The sequence below is a fragment of the Homo sapiens genome, chromosome 11, assembly GCF_000001405.40.
Source record: "Homo sapiens chromosome 11, GRCh38.p14 Primary Assembly".
NCBI lineage: Eukaryota > Metazoa > Chordata > Mammalia > Primates > Hominidae > Homo > Homo sapiens.
The window spans coordinates 26,277,986-26,297,744 of record NC_000011.10 but is presented as its reverse complement, the minus strand read 5'-3'; the positions used below and the strand labels follow the sequence as shown (position 1 = coordinate 26,297,744).

Below are 19,759 nucleotides of genomic sequence, written 5' to 3'. Positions count from 1 at the left end.
TTGGTACAGATGGGTACTCAGAATTATTGCCTTTCCCTTTGTAGTAGTAACCCTCTGAATGAATGATTGAAATCAAGAGAAAAAGTTGTTTACAAACTATACAAGTTGAGTTGTAGGAAGAGCATTTTGGGGAAAATGACCAGTCTTTTATTTTGAAGGGAGAACAAAATGAATTATCATCTTGGAAAACTAAAGGAAACTAATGTCAATAAAAGGGCACCAGTAAATCTGTCTGAAATGTCTACATTAGCTAATGTGGGTGGATTAAGAGGACCCTTGATTCATTCAGCCCACTGCCTGTGTTCCGCATAATTACAAGTGCTTATGGCTTATGCAAGAATGTTGTTGATCATTGTATGACAGGCCCACAAGTGTTTGTCTGTGTTAGAACAGCGACACTCACTGGTTATTTGTGATACTGACAGAAATGCTCACTAATAAAGTGAAATTTAAAATGATCCTCATAAATATCAACAAGACAAAAAAGGGATAAAAAAAAGAAACACAGATATACTGGAGGGTAAAAAGAAATTCACACACACACACACACACACACACACGCAATGGTTGATGCAGCTTGGGATGTTCAGCCAGAAGAAGAAAGAACACAATCAGTGATTACTATTTTTAAATTATAGGAAGTAATCTGAAACATTGAATCCTAAAGTATATTATATAAATATTTTGATCAATATAATTTTAAGAGTTATCCAATATGAAATGAGCTATCCTGGGTGTGGCTACCTGTCTCTAGAGGTACTCAAGTGTATTTTTAATAATGATTGACTGGAGTACCCTAGAGAAGATTCATATATAACATTAGGAATTCTGGATGATATCTAGAAGTGTTTCAGCTTCAAGTTCCTGATACTCAAAGGCTCAGACCAAAGTCACATTTACGTGGCTTGGAAGCTAATCATATTTTTCATAGTAAAAGCTGTCTCCTTCGCTGATATATTAAGAAAACATTTTCTTAATTGTTAAGGCCCTACTGGCTGTGGAAAGGTGAGTGCTTTTCAAATCAGTGTCTGTTATTCATCAATGATAATTACTCACTGCAGTGAGATATAATAGAAGTATCTCCCATGTCTCACCTGTTGGATGATTTTATGTCACCCAACACAAGATAGTAAGAATGATTGACCCCCTTTTTTCCTAACCCCTAACCTCAGTAAAATATTCAAGTCTCATGGTAAAACTAATCTCAGATTCAAGGAGGAAATCAATCTGTGTGAGTAACCAGTAGGACACTACCCAGAAGTCATATTATATTTTCTCTCCCTCATAGGCTGGTAAAAGAGAGACATGATCTGAGTGTCAACAAGTTAGATATGCTGCTTTATTCATAATCCCCCAAAGCATGGAAGAGAGGGTCAATTAATCTGGGGCCAGGATAAGCCGGAGCATCTCTTGTAGATGTTTTGTCATTTCTTATTTTAGAGATGTTTAAATTTGGAGATTGATAAAAAACTGCCAACTTGCCTAAGGCAGTAGGGTTTTAATAAACTCATTTATATAATGAGAGCTCATTTTCCTTAGGTAGCAAGAACATTTTCATATATAAATCAGTGCACATAAGATCAATTGCCAACACAAGAGAAAATGCAACCTTACTGTCCACTGCCAATTTACTACTGAGAATAATAAACCACTTTGTTTTCATTTCTTTATTTTGAAAAAGAAACACATATTTGGACAAAAAACAGCAGTGGCAGCAATTATGTTTAAGTTTGCTATTGCAACCATTCCCCTCTTCAGTTAGCATTGGGGTGTTCATATCACAAGAGAATTTTCAGGTTTATGAATAAAAACAGAAACATCTAGAGAGAGGTGGCTCTGTAATTTCAGAGTAGAAAGGAGACATTTCCATGAAGAACATAAAAAGGGTGACAACATAGGTGGGAACGGAGCATGGGAGGAATTTGGCTCAAACTGTTAGGCTCTGTTTTCTTAGATTTATTTCCAAACGATAGCATCTGCAAGAACAAAACCCAGAAATATATTTAAAAACGTCTTTAAAATTTTTAATCTGATTTGACAACTGATGGAGATATGAGGTGCTCTATTTCACATCTGAACTTTTCTAGAAATACATAATTTTAAAATCAATTTAAAAAATTAATAACTTTTTTGGCTACTTGATAGCTTTAAGTATTACAAAATATTATTTAATGTTTTCAATTAGGTTTACTGCTATCTATTAATTTTTTTTTTTTTTTTTTTTTTTTTGAGACAGAGTCTCACTCTATCGCCCAGGCTGGGCGCTATCTCAGCTCACTGCAAGCTCCGCCTCCCGGGTTCACGCCATTCTTCTGCCTCAGCCTCCGGAGTAGCTGGGACTATAGGCGCCCGCCACTAAGCCCGGCTAATTTTTTTTTATTTTTATTTTTAGTAGAGACGGGGTTTTACCGTGTTAGCCAGGATGGTCTCGATCTCCTGACTCAAATGATTTTTGATGTTGCTAAAGGGAAAACAAAGACCTTATTATCATAAGAGGGTTATAAAATAATGTGTTAGAAAATGACTCAACTGAGGCAGGCGCGGTGGCTCACACCTGTAATCCAGCCCTCTAGGAGGCCGAGGCGGGTGGATCACGAGGTCAGGAGATTGAGACCATCCTGTCCAACATGGTGAAACCCCATCTCTACTAAAATACAAAACAACAACAACAACAACAAATTACCCTGGCACGTGGGTGCACGCCTATAGTCCCAGTTACTCAGGAGGCTGAGGCAGGGGAATCGCTTGAATTCAGGAGGCGGAGGTTGCAGTGAGCAGAGATCATGCCACTGCACTCCAGCCTGGCAAGGGAGAAAGACTCCGTCTCAAAAATAAATAAATAAATAAATACATTTAAAAAAAGAAGAAAAAAAAGGAAAATGACCCAGCTGAAAGCCTGTCACTTGGTGACATCTACATTCATTGCCGCAGATATGTTGATGTCTGTTAAAGATATGCCAAAGAAAAAGAAAGGCATAAGATTTTTTCGATGTGTTTTTAAAGTTTCAAAGAAGAATGATAAAAATCAAACTAGAGTAAGTCACAGGCAGTCTTTCTGAGTGAGGGGCAAAGTCACTGTGTAGGTGATGGAGTCAGAGAACACGATCTGAATCTTGCTTCTGTCAATTTTGTTGCATGACCCTGCAGAAGTTGCTTAATCCTACTGACCCTTGGTTTCTTCACTTGGAGAGCAGTAATGATAATTACAATAATAATAGCAATCATGATATCTAGAATAGTGCTATTGTTCTATATAGGCATTCCACAATGAATATATATTTCAAATCAACATGTAATACATGATAAACATATACAATGTTTATTTTTCAACTCAAAATAAAATTTAAAAAAATAAAGTAAAACAAAACAGCACTATTTTGAAGATCCTGTGATATCATAATATAGAAAGCAGTAGCACAGTGGCTGGTGTGGATAAACACTAAAATACACAGAGGCTCCAGAATAGCTCAATGGCTCTCTAACAGTCTTACGGAATTCATGTCGAAAATATGATGACAGTCTTGAGGCAATCATCATATTTTCAGGATAGGTCAGTTTCTGACCCTCAAGAAAAGATTATAGACTATAATTTCCAAATTGTGGACAACAGTCCTTTAAACGTATTTTATTTCCACCGGGCCCACTTTCTACTGTTATTCTTTCAGCTTCCACTGCACATCTCCCTGCAGCTCTCCAAACAGACCATCTTCCTGTGGACTCTTCCACCAAACACGGAGAGACTCTTCCATTGAAGTGCAATCAGAAACATTGGCAATGCAAAAAAGCGACAAAACTATTTAGGTAAATAACACCCAAATCCTAGTTACAACACTTGAGTGTTACTTAATCATTCTAGTGCCAGTTTCTTCACCTATAAATTGCTATTGTAATACTGTACCAATCTGATAAACTTATTACGGAGAATTAATTTAATGAGAAAAGCATATGCAAAGCACAAGGACATGTAAGTAGATGCCCAAGAAAGTTTAATGTCCTTTTTATCCCTGTGGCTCAATTTCTTCATCTGTAAAATGATGGATTTGTGCAGGTGATTTTTAGTCTCTGTTAGTGTGAAATATTCTGTCTCCATATATTTCCATAAAATGATCTTTGCGTTTTAATGGATTTCTTCTACATATGACAAAGCAAAACATGAAAAACAACAGGAATATATATATATATATATATATATATATATATATATATATATACATGGAATTTATAGACCCACTCTAGACTGAAATTGATTCTTTTGAGCATCAAAATTTCCAGAAGCATAGATCTCATTGTTTATCAGTAATGTAAACCTGGATCTAGTTACTGGAAATAACAATTGAGTAAGTTGGGAGAAAAAATGCTCACTAAATGACACTAAATGACAGTGTGAGAGAAAGAATTTCAGAAAAATATTAGCCTCTCTTGTTTTTCTATTTATATATTTTTTCAAAAATTCTTTGAAAACATTGTATTATGTTAATTAGATCCTGTATGCCTTTTTATTTAGGTTTTGCTTATTTTAGGATATGAGGCAGAAACTCACAATAATGTTTTCATCGATGGCCTGTGCCAATTTAGAAGAAAAATTTACCTTTTCAAAACACCTTTTAAAATGGGTATTAAATATATTCATTAGAGGATTTGGATTAAAGTGAAGCTGACCCAAATTTATTGCCTTTAATTTAAAGATATGGGGTGGGTGAAGATGGCCGAATAGGAACAGCTCCAGTCTACAGTTCCCAACATGAGTGACGCAGAAGATGGGTGATTTCTGCATTTCCAACTGAGCTTTGAAGAGAGGAGTGGTTCTCCCAGCACGGAGTTTGAGATCTGAGAACGGACAGACTGCCTCCTCGTGGGTCCCTGACCCATGAGTAGCCTAACTGGGAGACACCTCCCAGTAGGGGCCAACTGACAACTCATACAGCCAGGTGCCCCTCTGAGATGAAGCTTCCAGAGGAAGGATCAGGCAGCAACCTTTGCTGTTGTGCAATATTTGCTGTTCTGCAGCCAGATACCCAGGCAAACTGGGTCTGGAGTGGACCTTCAGCAAACTCCAACAGACCTGCAGCTGAGGGTCCTAACTGTTAGAAGGAAAACTAACAAACAGAAAGGAATTGCATCAACATCAACAAAAAGGACACCCACACCAAAACCTCATCTGTAGGTCACCATCATCAAATACGAAAGGTAGATAAAAACCACAAAGATGGGGAGAAACCAGAGCGGAAAAGCTGAAAATTCTAAAAATCAGAGCACCTCTTCTCCTCCAAAGGATCGCACCTCCTCACCAGCAACTGAGCACAGCTGGATAGAGAATGACTTTGATGAGTTGACAGAAGTGGGCTTCAGAAGATTGGTAATAACAAACTTCTCTGAGCTAAAATAGGATGTTGGAACTCATTACAAAGAAGCTAAAAACCTTGAAAAAAGATTAGATGAATGGCTAACTAGAATAAACAGCATAGAGAAGACCTTAAATGACCTGATGGAGCTGAAAACCATGTCACGAGAACTATGTGATGCATGCACAAGTGTCAGTAACTGATTGGATCAAGTGGAAGAAAGGCTATCAGTGATTGAAGATCAAATGAATGAAATGAAGTGAGAAGAGAAGTTTAGAGAAAAAAGAATAAAAAGAAATGAACAAAGCCTCCAAGAAATATGGGACCATGTGAAAAGACCAAATCCATGTTTGATTGGTGTACCTGAAAGTGACAGGAAGAATGGAACCAAGTTGGAAAACACTCTGCAGGATATTACCCGGGAGAACTTCCCCAACCTAGCAAGGCAGGTCAACATTCAAATTCAGGAAAAATAGAGAACGCCACAAAGATACTCCTCAAGAAGAGCAACCCCAAGACACATAATTGTCAGATTCACCAAGGTTGAAATGAAGGAAAAAATGTTAAAGGCAGCCAGAGAGAAAGGTCGAGTTACCCACAAAGGGAAGCCCATCAGACTAACAGCAGATCTCTCAGCAGAAACTCTACAAGCCAGAAGAGAGTAGGGGCCAATATTCAACATTCTTAAAGAAAAGAAATTTCAACCCAGAATTTCATATCCAGTCAAACTAAGCTTCATAAGTGAAGGAGAAATAAAATCCTTTATAGACAAGCAAATGCTGAGAGATTTTGTCACCACCAGGCCTGCCTTACAAGAGATCCTGAAGGAAGCACTAAACATGGAAAGGAACAACCGGTACCAGCCACTGCAAAAACATGCCAAAATGTAAAGACCATCGAGGCTAGGAAGAAACTGCATCAACTAACAAACAAAATAACTAGCTAACATCATAATGACAGGATCTAATTCACACATAACAATATTAACCTTAAATGTAAATGGGCTAAATAACCCAATTAAAAGACACAGACTGGCAAATTGGATAAAGGGTCAAGACCCATCAGTGTGCTGTATTCAGGAGATCCATCTCATGTGCAGAGACACACATAGGCTCAAAATAAAGGGATGGAGGAAGACCTACCAAGCAAATGGAAAACAAAAAAAAGCAAGGGTTGCAATCCTAGTCTCTGATAAAACAGGCTTTAAACCAAAAAGATCAAAAGAGACAAAGAAGGCCATTACATAATGGTAAAGGGATCAATTCAATAAGAAGAGCTAACTATCCTAAATATATATGCACCCAATACAGGAGCACCCAGATTCATAAAGCAAGTCCTTAGAGACCTACAAAGAGACTCAGCCTCCCACACAATAATAATGGTAGACTTTAACATCCCACTGTCAACATTAGACAGATCAACGAGACAGATAGTTAACAAGGATTTCCAGGACTTGACTCAGCTCTGCACCAAGTGGACCTAATAGACATCTACAGAACTCTTCACTCCAAATCAACAGAATATGCATTCTTCTCAGCACCACATTGCACTTATTCCAAAATTGTCCACATTGTTGGAAGTAAAGCACTCCTCACCAAATGTAAAAGAACAGAAATTGTAACAAACTGTGTCTCAGCCCATAGTGCAATCAAATTAGAACTCAGGATTAAGAAACTCACTCAAAACAGCTCAACTACCTGGAAACTGAACAACCTGCTCCTGAATGACTACTGGGTAAATAATGAATTGAAGGCAGAAATAAAGATGTTCTTTGAAACCAATGAAAACAAAGACACAACATATCAGAATCTCTGGGACACATTTAAAGCAGTTGGTAGAGGGAAATTTATAGCACTAAATGTACACAAGAGAAAGCAGGAAAGATCCAAAATTGACACCCTAACATCACAATTAAAAGAACTAGAGAAGCAAGAGCAAACACATTCAAAAGCTAGCAGAAGGCAGGAAATAATTAAGATCAGAGCAGAACTGAAGGAGATAGAGACACAAAATCCCTTCAAAAAATCAATGAATCCAGGAGCTGGTTTTTTGAAAAGATCAACAAAATTGATAGACCACTAGCAAGACTAATAAAGAAGAAAAGAGAGAAGAATCAAATAGATGCGATAAAAAATGATAAAGGGGATATCACCACTGATCCCACGGAAATACAAACTACCATCAGAGAACACTATAAACACCTCTAAGCAAATAAACTAGAAAATCTAGAAGAAATGGATACATTCCTGGACACATACGCCCTCCCAAGACTAAACCAGGAAGAAGTTGAATCCCTGAATAGACCAATAACAGGCTCTGAAATTGGGGCAATAATTAATAGCCTACCAACTAAAAAAAGTCCAGGACCAGATGGATTCGCAGCTGAATTCTACCAGAGGTACAAACAGGAGCTGATACCATTTCTTCCAATCAATAGGAAAAGAGGGAATCCTCCCTAACTCATTTTATGAGGCCAGCATCATCCTGACACCAAAGCCTGGCAGAGATACAACAAAAAAAGAGAATTTTAGACCAATATCCCTGATGAACATCGATGCAAAAATCCTCAATAAAATACTGGCATTATACATATATACACACACATATATATATACTGGCATTATACATATGTATACATATATATACACATATAGAATATATATACACATATAGAATATATATACACATATAGAATATATATACACATATAGAATATATGTGTGTATATGTACATATACACACATATAGAATATATGTGTGTATATGTACATATACACACATATAGAATATATGTGTGTATATGTACATATACACACATATAGGATATATGTGTATATGTACATATACACACATATAGAATATATATATTCTATATATGTATATATGTACATATATACTTAGAATCAAAGGTAATAATGTATATGAAAATTTTTGGCAAAATAGGCAGTGCTATATATATATTAAGGATTATTATTATTATTAGAATGATTATTTAGTGCCAAATATGTTTTAGGTTTGGTGTCAAATTACTTATATTCACAATCACCAAAGTTCACCATGAGTATTATTATCCCATTTTTATTACTGAGTATGCTCAGTTGAAAAAATGAAGTTAGTTGCTTAATAAAACAGAGCAAATGTCTGGTGTTCCCAGGACATAAATCCAAGTCTGCTGATTTCAAGGTTTATCTGTTTCCTGCTACTTTTTTTTTGCCTGTCATTATAAATCCCACACAGATAAATCTCTATTGATGCCAATTTATATTAAGAGATAAAATGTGAAGAAAGTAAAATCTATAAAAGGAGACCTGATATGTATGGTTTACCTCCATATTCCTAAGGCCTAGGCCATTGCTTGACAGTAGGCACTCCATAGTTGTTGAATGAATGTAATATTAAATAGAGTAAAGTCACACTGAAATCCATTATCCAGAAACTTTATTATTAAACGACTGAAATCTACCAGAAAACCAAAGATTGTGCTAAGTTGTAATAAATTTGAAATCTGGATATTGTACTTTATCCACCTATTGTAGCTTCCCAGAGGGACATTTGCAGGCAAATAGGTATGGCATATTAGATCCATGGCACCATTTAATTTCTTCAATTTAAAAATGCCAGTGTTGACTAATTTCGTGTATTCAGGTGGCAAAGTAATATTCCTCTCACTTCCTTTCCTATCTTGCTGCTTTCTCAGGCATGGTACAGATCAAAAGAAGAAAATGGTTTGCTTAGGTGTTTTCTTTCCCTATTGCTCCAGACACATAATGGCCAGTGAAATGGATCTGAAATTGGAAGGAGTGTAGAGGCCACCGGAAGTATACCTATTTATTAACCCCAGTTTGTGTTCATTATCATTGAAGCTAAAATGGAAAGCTCTTCTGGGAAGGTCAGAAAAACAAAGGAAGGAATCCCTTTCCTACCCACTCACAGAAAGCTGACAATTTAAGAGTCCAGATTTATAATTTGTCCTATATGTTGGTTTTTAGAACTTAAAACAACAACAACAAGGAAAATCCCACTGTTACTGCCAGCTGACATGGACTCTATCTGTGTTTTTCTGAACAACCAGTCTGTCAAATGTCAGTGACAATTGATACCTCCATCATAAACTTCCACTTCTTTATCTTAAAAGCAAGTAATTAAAAGCAGGCTGATGATTCCACCTCTAAATTCACTGGCCTGTCACAGGTGAAGTCAGCGTCGCCAGCCACCCTTCTCTTATGCCTCTCCACTCTACCCTGCTTCCTCACTTAGCCTCCTGGTCTAGCAGACATTCTGATTTTCCAGAGGAAGGAGTGTTATTATGTGCCTTTCAGAATCATTTGATTAATTTTTTGACATTAGTCTACCCTCTACAGTGTGAACAACGCATAGTATATCTGGAGAAGAATGTAGAAGAGAAATTAAATTGACAGAAGATTCTCATGAGGCTCTTTGGAGGTAAGCATTTTCTATTATTTGACAAAGTTCTCCATTGGTTTCAAAAGCCAAGAGAAGAGGAACTTAGAATTTAAAGAAAATAAATGTGAGTTTCAACTCATCCTCTGCCATTAATTCCAGTTTGATATTTGATTATGGCACTTACATTTTTTCAGGGCTCTTTTCACACCTAGTAAGTGGTTTCTAACTAATAGGCTAGTTGAGAAACTATAAATTAGTGGTTAAGAACAAAGGCTCTGGATTTATAATCTGGATTTGAATCTTCCTGGGTTTAAATCCTGGTTTCACCGATTATTAACTATGTGACTTTGGGTAAGTTGCTTAGAGTCTCTGTGCCTTTGTTTCCTCACCTGTAAATGAGTGACATTATAACAGTACTTATCATATATTTTTGTTATGAACATTAACAGGATACTGGTGAAGATCACAGACTCTGGAACCAGAGTGCCTGGATTTAATGTCTGTTTCTATTGCTTAATGACTGTGTGACCTTGGATAAATCACTCGACCTCTCTGTGCTTCACTTCCTGTATCTCTAAAATGGATATTGTCATCTGCTTTACTGGGTTGTTGTAAATAGTAAATGAATCAATAAACAGATGTAAGGTACTTAGACCACTGCTTGGCACATGGTAAGCATTCAATACATGTTAGTCATCATTATTCGAAGGACGAAGTTAAATACAGGATTCAAAGCTCATAGCATATTTATTAATTGTGTATTAAATATTGTGCTAGGAACATACAATAATGTTCAGGACAGACCGGGCTCTGCTCTGGTGGTGCAGATAGTCTAGTCTAACAGAATATATTAGTCACTCTATCAATTCGGCTTTCTCCTGCCCCACAGTTTCTGACTTGGTAGAAAAGCATGTCAAATATCCATGAACCTAATTGTACTGACAATAACTAGTGACACAATAATTGGGCAGGTAATGTAAAGGCAAAATCTTGTGCTTCCATTGATTTATAACACTTTGTTAAGTTTATAAACTCCTTCCTGCAAAAATCTGAATGTCTGTTGGCCCAGAGTTCAATAAAGAAAACACATTAAGCAGAGAGTCTTTAGAAGGTTCTGGTGCAAAGCTAACGACTCTAAAAAGATAGTTTGGAGCTAAGCCCTGTTTGTTTTAACATTCCAAGAGCTTCTGTACCATCCAGTAACAATAACGATCAGCAAATGAACAGAAAGAACCCCTGCATTTGAGGAGCTTTGTGTCTATCTTGTATGGAGACCAAAGCCCACCCGCATTGCCAATTACTGAGTGGTGTGTCAGCATCCATATCGCCATCTTCTGGGAGAGTGTTAGAGATGCAGACACTCAGGCTTTGCCCCAGACCTACTGAATCTTAACTTGTATTTTAACAAGATCCCAAGGCAATTCATATCACATGAAAGTTTGGGAAATGGATTATAAAATTACTGTGCAATTATTATACAATTGGTCATACATTAGAAACACCACACATTAGAATCACGGGGGAAACTTAAAAAATGATGAATGCCTGGGTTTCAACTAAAATAATTCTGACTTAACTGGATGCCTGAGCATCTGAAATTTAAACATTTTTCCAACATGATTTTGCTGTGCAGCCAGAATTCAGACCCCTGAACTAAATATTGACAAACCCCAGGCCTTTATATCAAAATACAACTATTTATTTCATGTGCTCTAAATGAAACAAATGTTAAGGTATACTGAATACAAATATTTTGTGGTTAAGAAAGTTCCCCCTAACCTTTGATTATTTCACATGCTGTTTTCAGAGTCCTGTGAACTATTTTTCCCTTTGTCATTTCAGGATTTAGAATGCTGACCTGCTTATTTTCATATGGAAGACAATAAGCTGATTCCCTGTAGATTGAGCTAACGGCCATCTGTTATGATGGGACAATGCTGATTCAAGAAGTGTCATTTGCCACTTTATCTGATGTCAGGAGGCAACACATGAAATCTGAGGACCTTTAATAACTCACAACACCTTGTGTGTAAGATCCCCGGGGAAAGGCAACCCCAAATTAGAAACATGTTTCACTGGAAGGGCACTCACTTACTGATACCTCAGGGACTCCACTTTGAGGGATGCCTTTATCATTCATACCTTTCCATGGCATGAATGGAAAACTGCTGCAATGCTGCTTCTGTCCTAATGCATTTCATGAGTCAGCATATGACAAAGGGAAGGGACACCCAGGTCAGCCCCATCATTGTATCTGAAACCAACACTTCGAATATAATTGGAATGATTACATACGATTCTAGATGTTGAGTGATTAGCACAGCAAGTGGTGCCCAGTTGGTTGCTATTATTACTGTTGTTGTTGACATTATGATTATGCTTATTTTGTGTTATTTATTAAATGAATATACTTATCCCGTAAGACTCCACGTGCTCCTAAAACTCCCCATGGGTGAAAATATTTGTCTCCCATAATGTATTCCTTTATAAGAAACAGAGATTCACGGACCATGTTTATAAGGTAATCTTTAATTGTTCTTAAATATGTATTAAATATTCATTTAAAATAAGAATAAGAATGCACAACAAATAAGACAAACCAAAATAATTTTATAAATCTTAATAACAATGACATCTTTCAAATTTCATACAACATGTCTTGCTTTATTTTTAGATTCTTTTTCCATCACAGTTTAATTTAGATGCTTTGTTGCCATTATGCAAATTATGAGTTTCTTTATCTTCCTATATTTTCTTACTCCTAAAGTTCTTGGTTAAGACTTCAGGCTCTTTTACAAAATATGCATTACTATTTTCTAAAAGATAACAAAGTGAACTTTATTAAGATTAAGTTTGTGGGTGACCAGTAAATACTAACCTTACCATAATTAAAAAAAAAAATTGTACACAGTAAATAAACCACATAGTGGTAGCTCCCCCTAGTGGAAATTCTGAAGTAAAGGCGGTTTTAACAAAATAGTTCCAAATTGGCAGGCTTGATTCAAGTATATTTAGAGATCACCTATGCCAAATATCCACAAACTTAAAGGAAGAAAGATGAGTATTCAAAATATGCATCTTTTTCTTTTCTTTTGAGACGGAGTCTCGCTCTGTCGCCCAGGCTGGGGTGCAGTGGGGCGATCTCGGCTCACTGCAGGCTCCGCCTCCCAGGTTCACGTCATCTTCTGCCTCAGCCTCCGGAGTAGCTGGGACTACAGGCGCCCGCCAGCACGCCCGGCTAATTTTTTTTGTATTTTTTTTTTAGTAGAGACGGGGTTTCACCGTGTTAGCCAGGATGGTCTGGATCTCCTGACCTCTTGATCCGCCAGCCTCGGCCTCCCAAATTGCTGGGATTACAGGAGTGAGCCACCGCGCCCAGCCCAAAATATGCATTTCTTAAAGCAATAAATCCAAGAAACTATTGATTTAGATTCTTCCACTTCTGAATTGAGAGACCCGCGGGAAGTTAAAAGCTCTCTCATTCTCTGATTTCATATACATATAATGAGTACAAAAACACTCACCTCACAGAGTTGCTGTAAGGATTAAACAAAATCTATTCCCCACTTCCAGTTGATCTCCACATCGATAAAAGTGTGCAGCATGCAGGAATCAAATTAGAATCCTCTTTCTCCCTTACTTTGCTTCCCGTTCAACCCATTAGGAATTCGTGTTTTATTCTATGCCACTCCACTCCATATCGGCACTTAATCATCTGGCCCAAACCACCATCACCTCTTGCCTGTATTATTAGGATAGGTCCAAGCTGCCCTCTGCTTCCTTCTCTTGTTTTCATTAGCTTCATGGTGCATGCAGTAGACTGAATGAAAGCTGTGTCATGTCAGCCTCGGGTCCAACCCTTCAATTGCTTCCCACTGCACTTAGAGCACTTCTGGCCCTGTCCTCCAAGGCCTGCAGTTATCTGGGAGCTGCCTGTGCTTCCCTCCTCCCGCCATACCACCCACCTACACACCCGCCCCAGCACAGTTCCCCCACATGGGTCAAATACTGCAAGTCTCAGGACTCCTAACTGCTTTTCTCATTTTTCATGTGTCTTGTTCTGGTGCATCTTGCAGGTATCAGCTTAAATAACCTTTACAGTTTTCTCTATCTAAATTTGGTCTCCCACCTCTCAGTTTTCCTTTTCATAGCATCCCATTGGTTCCCATCAGGGCATTCGTTACAATTTGCAGTTATATGTTTGGTGGCTTATTATCTGTCTCCTCCATTAGAATTTAAGGCATCAAGTCTGTCTTGTTAACCATTAGATTTCTAGTACCCTGGAAAGTTGGTGTTTTAAAGTCTCTATTGAATAGATAAATAGATTGATTCATTTTTATAAAATTACTGGGCACACATTTGCCTGAGTAGGTACTTACTAAGTGAGAAATCTCACTAAGTGATAATCCTTTTCTCTTTCCAGCAAAGTATGTGCTCTATTAGTTCTCAGTTCTGGTCGTGATTATGAACTACTTTTCATGTTGTACTGATTGTTGAATGTTTTACATAATTAACCAATAGTGTGGTTTGTCTTCTCAGGCTTGGAGAGCAGATTTGCAGTGAAGCAAATAAACCCAAAGCCCAGAGTTACTCGTTTCCCCTGGACCTTCTAAGAACAGAAAAAATGCTCGCTATATATATATATATATATATATATATATATATATATATATATATTTATTTATTTGTTTATTTTGGTAAGATATGGTTATGCTAACAGATTGGTGAATGTGACATTCATTCAAAGAGGATTAGAGAGTAGCTCCTACACGAAAAAATGTGACATGCAATGACATCATATACCTTGTATAAGAAAGGAAATTGAAAGAAGACTTTCCATATTTGACAGTAATCTGAAAAATGTATATGGCAATACTAATAAGTTATGAAGCAAAACAAAAATTTAAAAATTATAATGTAAAATAGTTCATCAACCATTTTAGATGAAGCAATGATTTGTTTTTCAATTTTTTTCTGTAGAAAATATTATTAAAATGCATTCAAATAAAGACTCAAGGAATATGTAGTCTAAATGTAAGAAAAATAATTATAGAATTGTGATAGGCAGTTACTAAAGACACATACCTCATGTTATCTTTCTGGATTTTGTGAATGATGTTTGTGGGTTTTATGGCCATTGACAAATATATAATTTCTTTTATTTCGTCATTCACTTTCTAATTTTCTATTTATACTTTTGTATTCTTTTTATTCAAAAATTTCCCCAAATTTAAGACTACTGAGGCTTCATGAAACCTGAATCTTCCCTGATGCTTGGTAAGATGATACAGACTAAGTATTGTTTTCAACTGGATACACTGGAGATATAGTCTTGTTTTTGTTTTCTTTTTAGTCATGTAGATGAGCTTTTTAAAAATGACACAAAATGGCCTACACAATTCCAACAGTAGTGGATTCAAATTCAATTTCTTAATTAAAAAAATCTTATCTTTTACAGGAAGGAGTAAATACACATAGCAATATTTTCCAAAGCCGAGAAGAAGTGGAATAAAAGAAAATATTGGAAAAACAGCAATCTAAAAGTTAAATTAATATGCAGAATGCAGGCTATGACTTCATCTAATTTTATTAGAAGTTCATAAAAGTTTATGTCTGAGTTTCCTAACAACCAACAATAAGAGATAAATTCAGACACATGAATCAGATAATCTATTACAAAAAAAAAAACAAAAAAAATGAAAACCTGTTTGTTTATGCAAAGCCCAGTTCAGATTTATTTCTGGACTTTAGATATATGCTTTTCTTTGGTAGCTGATGCGGAAAACACTCCATGATATGAACAGCATCATCAACTACATTTTCAACTAAAAACAATGAGTTTCAGAAATTTTTGTCTAACACCCTCCGAAGCAGGCTAATGGTATAAGTAAAATTTAGGAAAAACAAGCTCTATTGACAACCCAAATAATGTAACCCCAAACACTGCTTCATAGGTCCCTGCTGCTAGTATTCCAAGAATAAACAGTGTGTCGGTGCAAAGTAATGGTTTTCATGTTTTTGCTTTGGCCTGGGAGGATCTTAATTATGACTAATCCACATGGTTGTATAGACGAACTGCATGTCTTCATATGCACATGTGCTGGGTTGGGGCAAAAATATTCCAAAAGAGATGAGGAGCTTCTTGAAGACATTTGCCTGAATGTCTTCAAACTTAACTTGCCATAGTTGCAGAAGGACAATGGGCAAAGATATGTCTCTTCAAGCAGTACTTTCAGGAACTTATCAGCATATAACCAAGGTCTTAGGCTTTAGAATTTTATATTAATCTTTAAATAAACATAAATATTTCATGCTTTCCTGACAAAATATTTTTATTTAATTGCACCTGTACCTGTTAGAGTGTACAAATAAGAATAAAAATGTTTTGCTGACTCCTACTTCCACAAATAGAAATTCCTAGGGTGGGGTCAAAATTTATTTTGCATAATTAACTCAGATGAGAAGAGTCTTTTTGTTAATTTTAGTTTAAGTGTGAAGAAGAACCTCTCCCTCAAGTCATCTGAGGTGGAGTTTGGACAGGTTCTTAGCTAATAAAAATTTAGGAGTAGGGTCCCTCTAGGCCTATCTCATTATTTTAGTCATAATTTTTCTATGCTCATGAGGAGTTCAGAGTGGTTTGGAAATGCTCTTTCAAACGTGAATATGATTAGGAAATGGTTATTTCCTCTTCATTCATTCAGTCATTCATTTCTGGAACAGAAATTGTGTGCCAACTATAGGATTATATATATTAATACTACACATTCTGAAGCCAATATGACTGTCATTTATGATCTGTATGATCTTGGACAAATTACTTAGCCTTTCTATATCTTTATTTCTTCATCTGCAAAGTAAAGATATTAATGTTAATTATTTCACAGGGTTATAACAAGAATTAAGTGAGACACTATATGAAAAGCACTTTTAATGGTGTTTGGTATCTAGTACAGTATTGGCACATCTGTGTGCCAATGCAGGGGATAAAACAATGATAGAGACAGATATTATTCATGTTCTTACTGATTTTGGCAGCCCTGAGAATGAGCCTGTCAGATCTCTGGCTCCCAGGAGCATGTATGTCCAGCTTCCCAATTGCTGTGCTATAAAATCTATTACTGCTTTTGTGCAGAGGCCTTATGGCTTCTCCCTGTCAAGAACCAAGTATAGCAGGAATACTAAGGTGGCACCATTCCTGGGAGACAGGGAACTCTTTAACAGGTGACTGATTTTAGAACAAATTCATGCTTATTGGGCGTGATGGTAAATATTGTCAACTTGATTGGATTGAAGGATGCAACGTATTTTCCTGGGTGTGTCTGTGAGGGTGTTGCCAAAGGAGATTAACATTTGAGTCAGTGGACTGGGAAAGGCAGAGCCCTCACCCGCCAATCTGGGTGGGAACCATCAAATCAGCTGCCAGTGTGGCCAGAATAAAAGCAGGCAGAAGAACGTGAGAAGACTAGACTTGTTTAGTGTTCCTGCCTACATGTTTCCCCTGTGCTAGATGCTTCCTGCCCTTGAATATCGGACTCCAAGTTCTTCAGCTTTGGGACTCGGACTGGCTTCCTCGCTCTTCAGCTTGTAGATGGCCTACTGTGGGATCTCACCTTGTGATCATGTGAGTCAATATGCCTTAAAAAACTCCCCTTTACATATACATCTATCCTATTAGTTCTGTCCTGCTAGAGAACCTTAATACACTAGGATTTAGGAATGGTGAAGGCTAGCGGGGTAGATGTGATAATAAAAAGAGGTGACACAAGACAACTCTTTGTAGTGATGTAATAATCCTTTATCTTGAATTAAGTAGTAGTTGCACAACTCTGCACATGTGGTAAAATGACATGAACTATACACACATATTGTACCGATGCCATTGTCCTGGTTTTGAAATTTTACTATGGTTGTGAAAGAGTTAACAATTGGAGAAGATCATCATCAAAAATGGTAGCATAAGAACCCCTGAAAACTCTTTTTCATTAAAGCAGTGAGAAAACTCACAAGCATCATCAGTGTCATTTCTTTTCGAGAAATCTGGAAATGAACCAAAGATTTACACTAATCCAGGGAGAGTTATTGAAGAAAAATGGCTTAATTCATTAATAAGAGCAAGTATTGGGTATTTTGACTTATTCTACTCCCATCCTATTCTGTTTAGGTCTGTAGTAATCTTAAAATAAAACAGCCTACAATCACAGTGGAAATAAGGAGTCTTGAAGTTGCCGGATGGACACAGAATGAGATTGGGGCCCCTTTAAAGCCTCACTCCCAGTTGTCACTATTTATCCAGTTTTCTGGTTCCCTGGGAGACCCCACTTGCAAGTCCCTGAAGACCCTACTTGCAAGGCTATCTTGATTTGACTTGAAACAGAGCTCACAGAAATGTGCAAAAAGACAAGTGATGTTAAATATCTGTCCATGTGCTTCTTGACTATTTGTACTCTTCTTTGCAGAAATATCTATTCAAATCCTTTGCCCATTTTAATAGGGTTGTTTGTCTTTTTGTTGTTGAATTGTAGGAATTCTTTATTCTGCATATGAAATCTTTTTCATATACATGATTTGCAAAGTTCTTTACAATTATGTATCCATAGGACAAACTTTCACTTCATGGACTTGAAAACAACAATAGCAAAGCAATTCAAAGAGGCAGAAATCTGTTAAGGAATCTATTTTTGTGCACTATTTGTGTTGGAATATTATTTCTAATATTATAAAATAATAAATCTAACTTAGGTAAAATTGTGAAGCATGTTCAATTTCTCTGTTTCCAGACCTGATCTTTGAAAACTTGAAGGGAACTAGTTGAGATAGGGACCCATAAGAAAAAAGCTTCACAGACTCTAGGGAAGATACATTCATTTTCTCTCTCCTGGATTATTGGAGTGGTCACCAGATATTCTTTCTTGCTTCTAGTCTCCTCACATTCAATCTATCTTGCATACAAAATTGCCTCTTTTCAGGACACTGGAACTTCCCTGACCTCTCCATTGAAGGCTATGTAGGGTGATCTGTAAGTACTGGAGCATAAAGGTAGAAAGGTAAAGATGTCTACATAGCAACTTCTATTATAAAAGAATCGTAGTATACAAATCCCAATATACAACACACATACCCACACACACATGCACACACACAGACATTAAGTCTAGTTTAGTTTCCCTCAGAAGAAGACTGAGACAAAATTTCAAATACAAATAATGTGCTTAAGATGTGCAGAGAACACCAATAGAGAGGTGGGAAGGTGATAGAGGAAAGACAAATAATAGAGTATATTAACCTGAAACTTAGGAAATCTAGTACTGTTTGTATTTGAAGTTTTATCCACTGTAGAATTTTGAAACACCAGTGCAAAATGTAATGTGTCAAAATTAGTACATCTGAGGTTCAAATTGGTCATGATTTGTGCCATCTCTAGAGAGCCATCTATTGGTGGCTCCCAGCTTGAGCCTACGTGAGTGACAATAAACAGTAAACAGTAAAGTCTGAGGGATACATGTGACTCTGCACTCCATAAAAAATTTAAAAAACCCAGTCTTAATTGGATCACATTCCAAAATATTCTGTAATGAGTCATTACTTTGTATTCTCAACACCACTAAAACCCTAATTTGTCTGCCTGTCTGATCCATTATCCTAATACTGGTTTAATAGGGTAGCAAGTAGCAGTCCCATTCCTCACAATTTTCAAGATTAATAGGTGGGTGGAAAAGTGTGAGCCTCTTTCCAAGGAAAATGAGCAAGGGTCTTCATGTTGTTCATCCTAGAGTTAATTGCCAATGCCAGAAGAATATGATGCTCTGATTAGCCAGATCTAAACGGTGTGTCAGTAATGACAGCAGAATTGAGTGAAATAAATAGCACCGGAAGCACACGGGCACACACAGAAGCAGAGAAAGAGAATCTGGGGGTCGTTACTAGACTGATAGGATCAATAGTCAATACTAAAATGATGGAGAGTGGATGCTGGGCTGTGAAAATAGCAGACACCACCAAAATGTCTTACAAGG

At 36.8% G+C, this 19,759-nt stretch overlaps 1 protein-coding gene and 1 long non-coding RNA gene across 2 annotated transcripts in view, besides 1 other annotated feature; one reads left to right on the top strand and one right to left on the bottom strand.

The window, feature by feature from the left end:
* ANO3 (anoctamin 3) overlaps nt 1–19,759 on the bottom strand; it is a 474,482-nt gene that overhangs the window by 365,545 nt on the left and 89,178 nt on the right. The window lies entirely within an intron of this gene.
* On the top strand, nt 9,738–12,160 carry ANO3-AS1 (ANO3 antisense RNA 1). Its single transcript, NR_132968.1, has 3 exons — nt 9,738–9,785; nt 10,196–10,417; nt 11,589–12,160. It is a non-coding gene; the product is annotated as an ANO3 antisense RNA 1 (long non-coding RNA).
* Nucleotides 12,924–12,983: an enhancer, noted in NCBI's record as "active region_4540". NCBI's record gives its function as "activates an Ori minimal core promoter by ATAC-STARR-seq in GM12878 lymphoblastoid cells {active_cell/tissue: GM12878}" and the evidence as "EXISTENCE:reporter gene assay evidence [ECO:0000049][PMID:35858748]".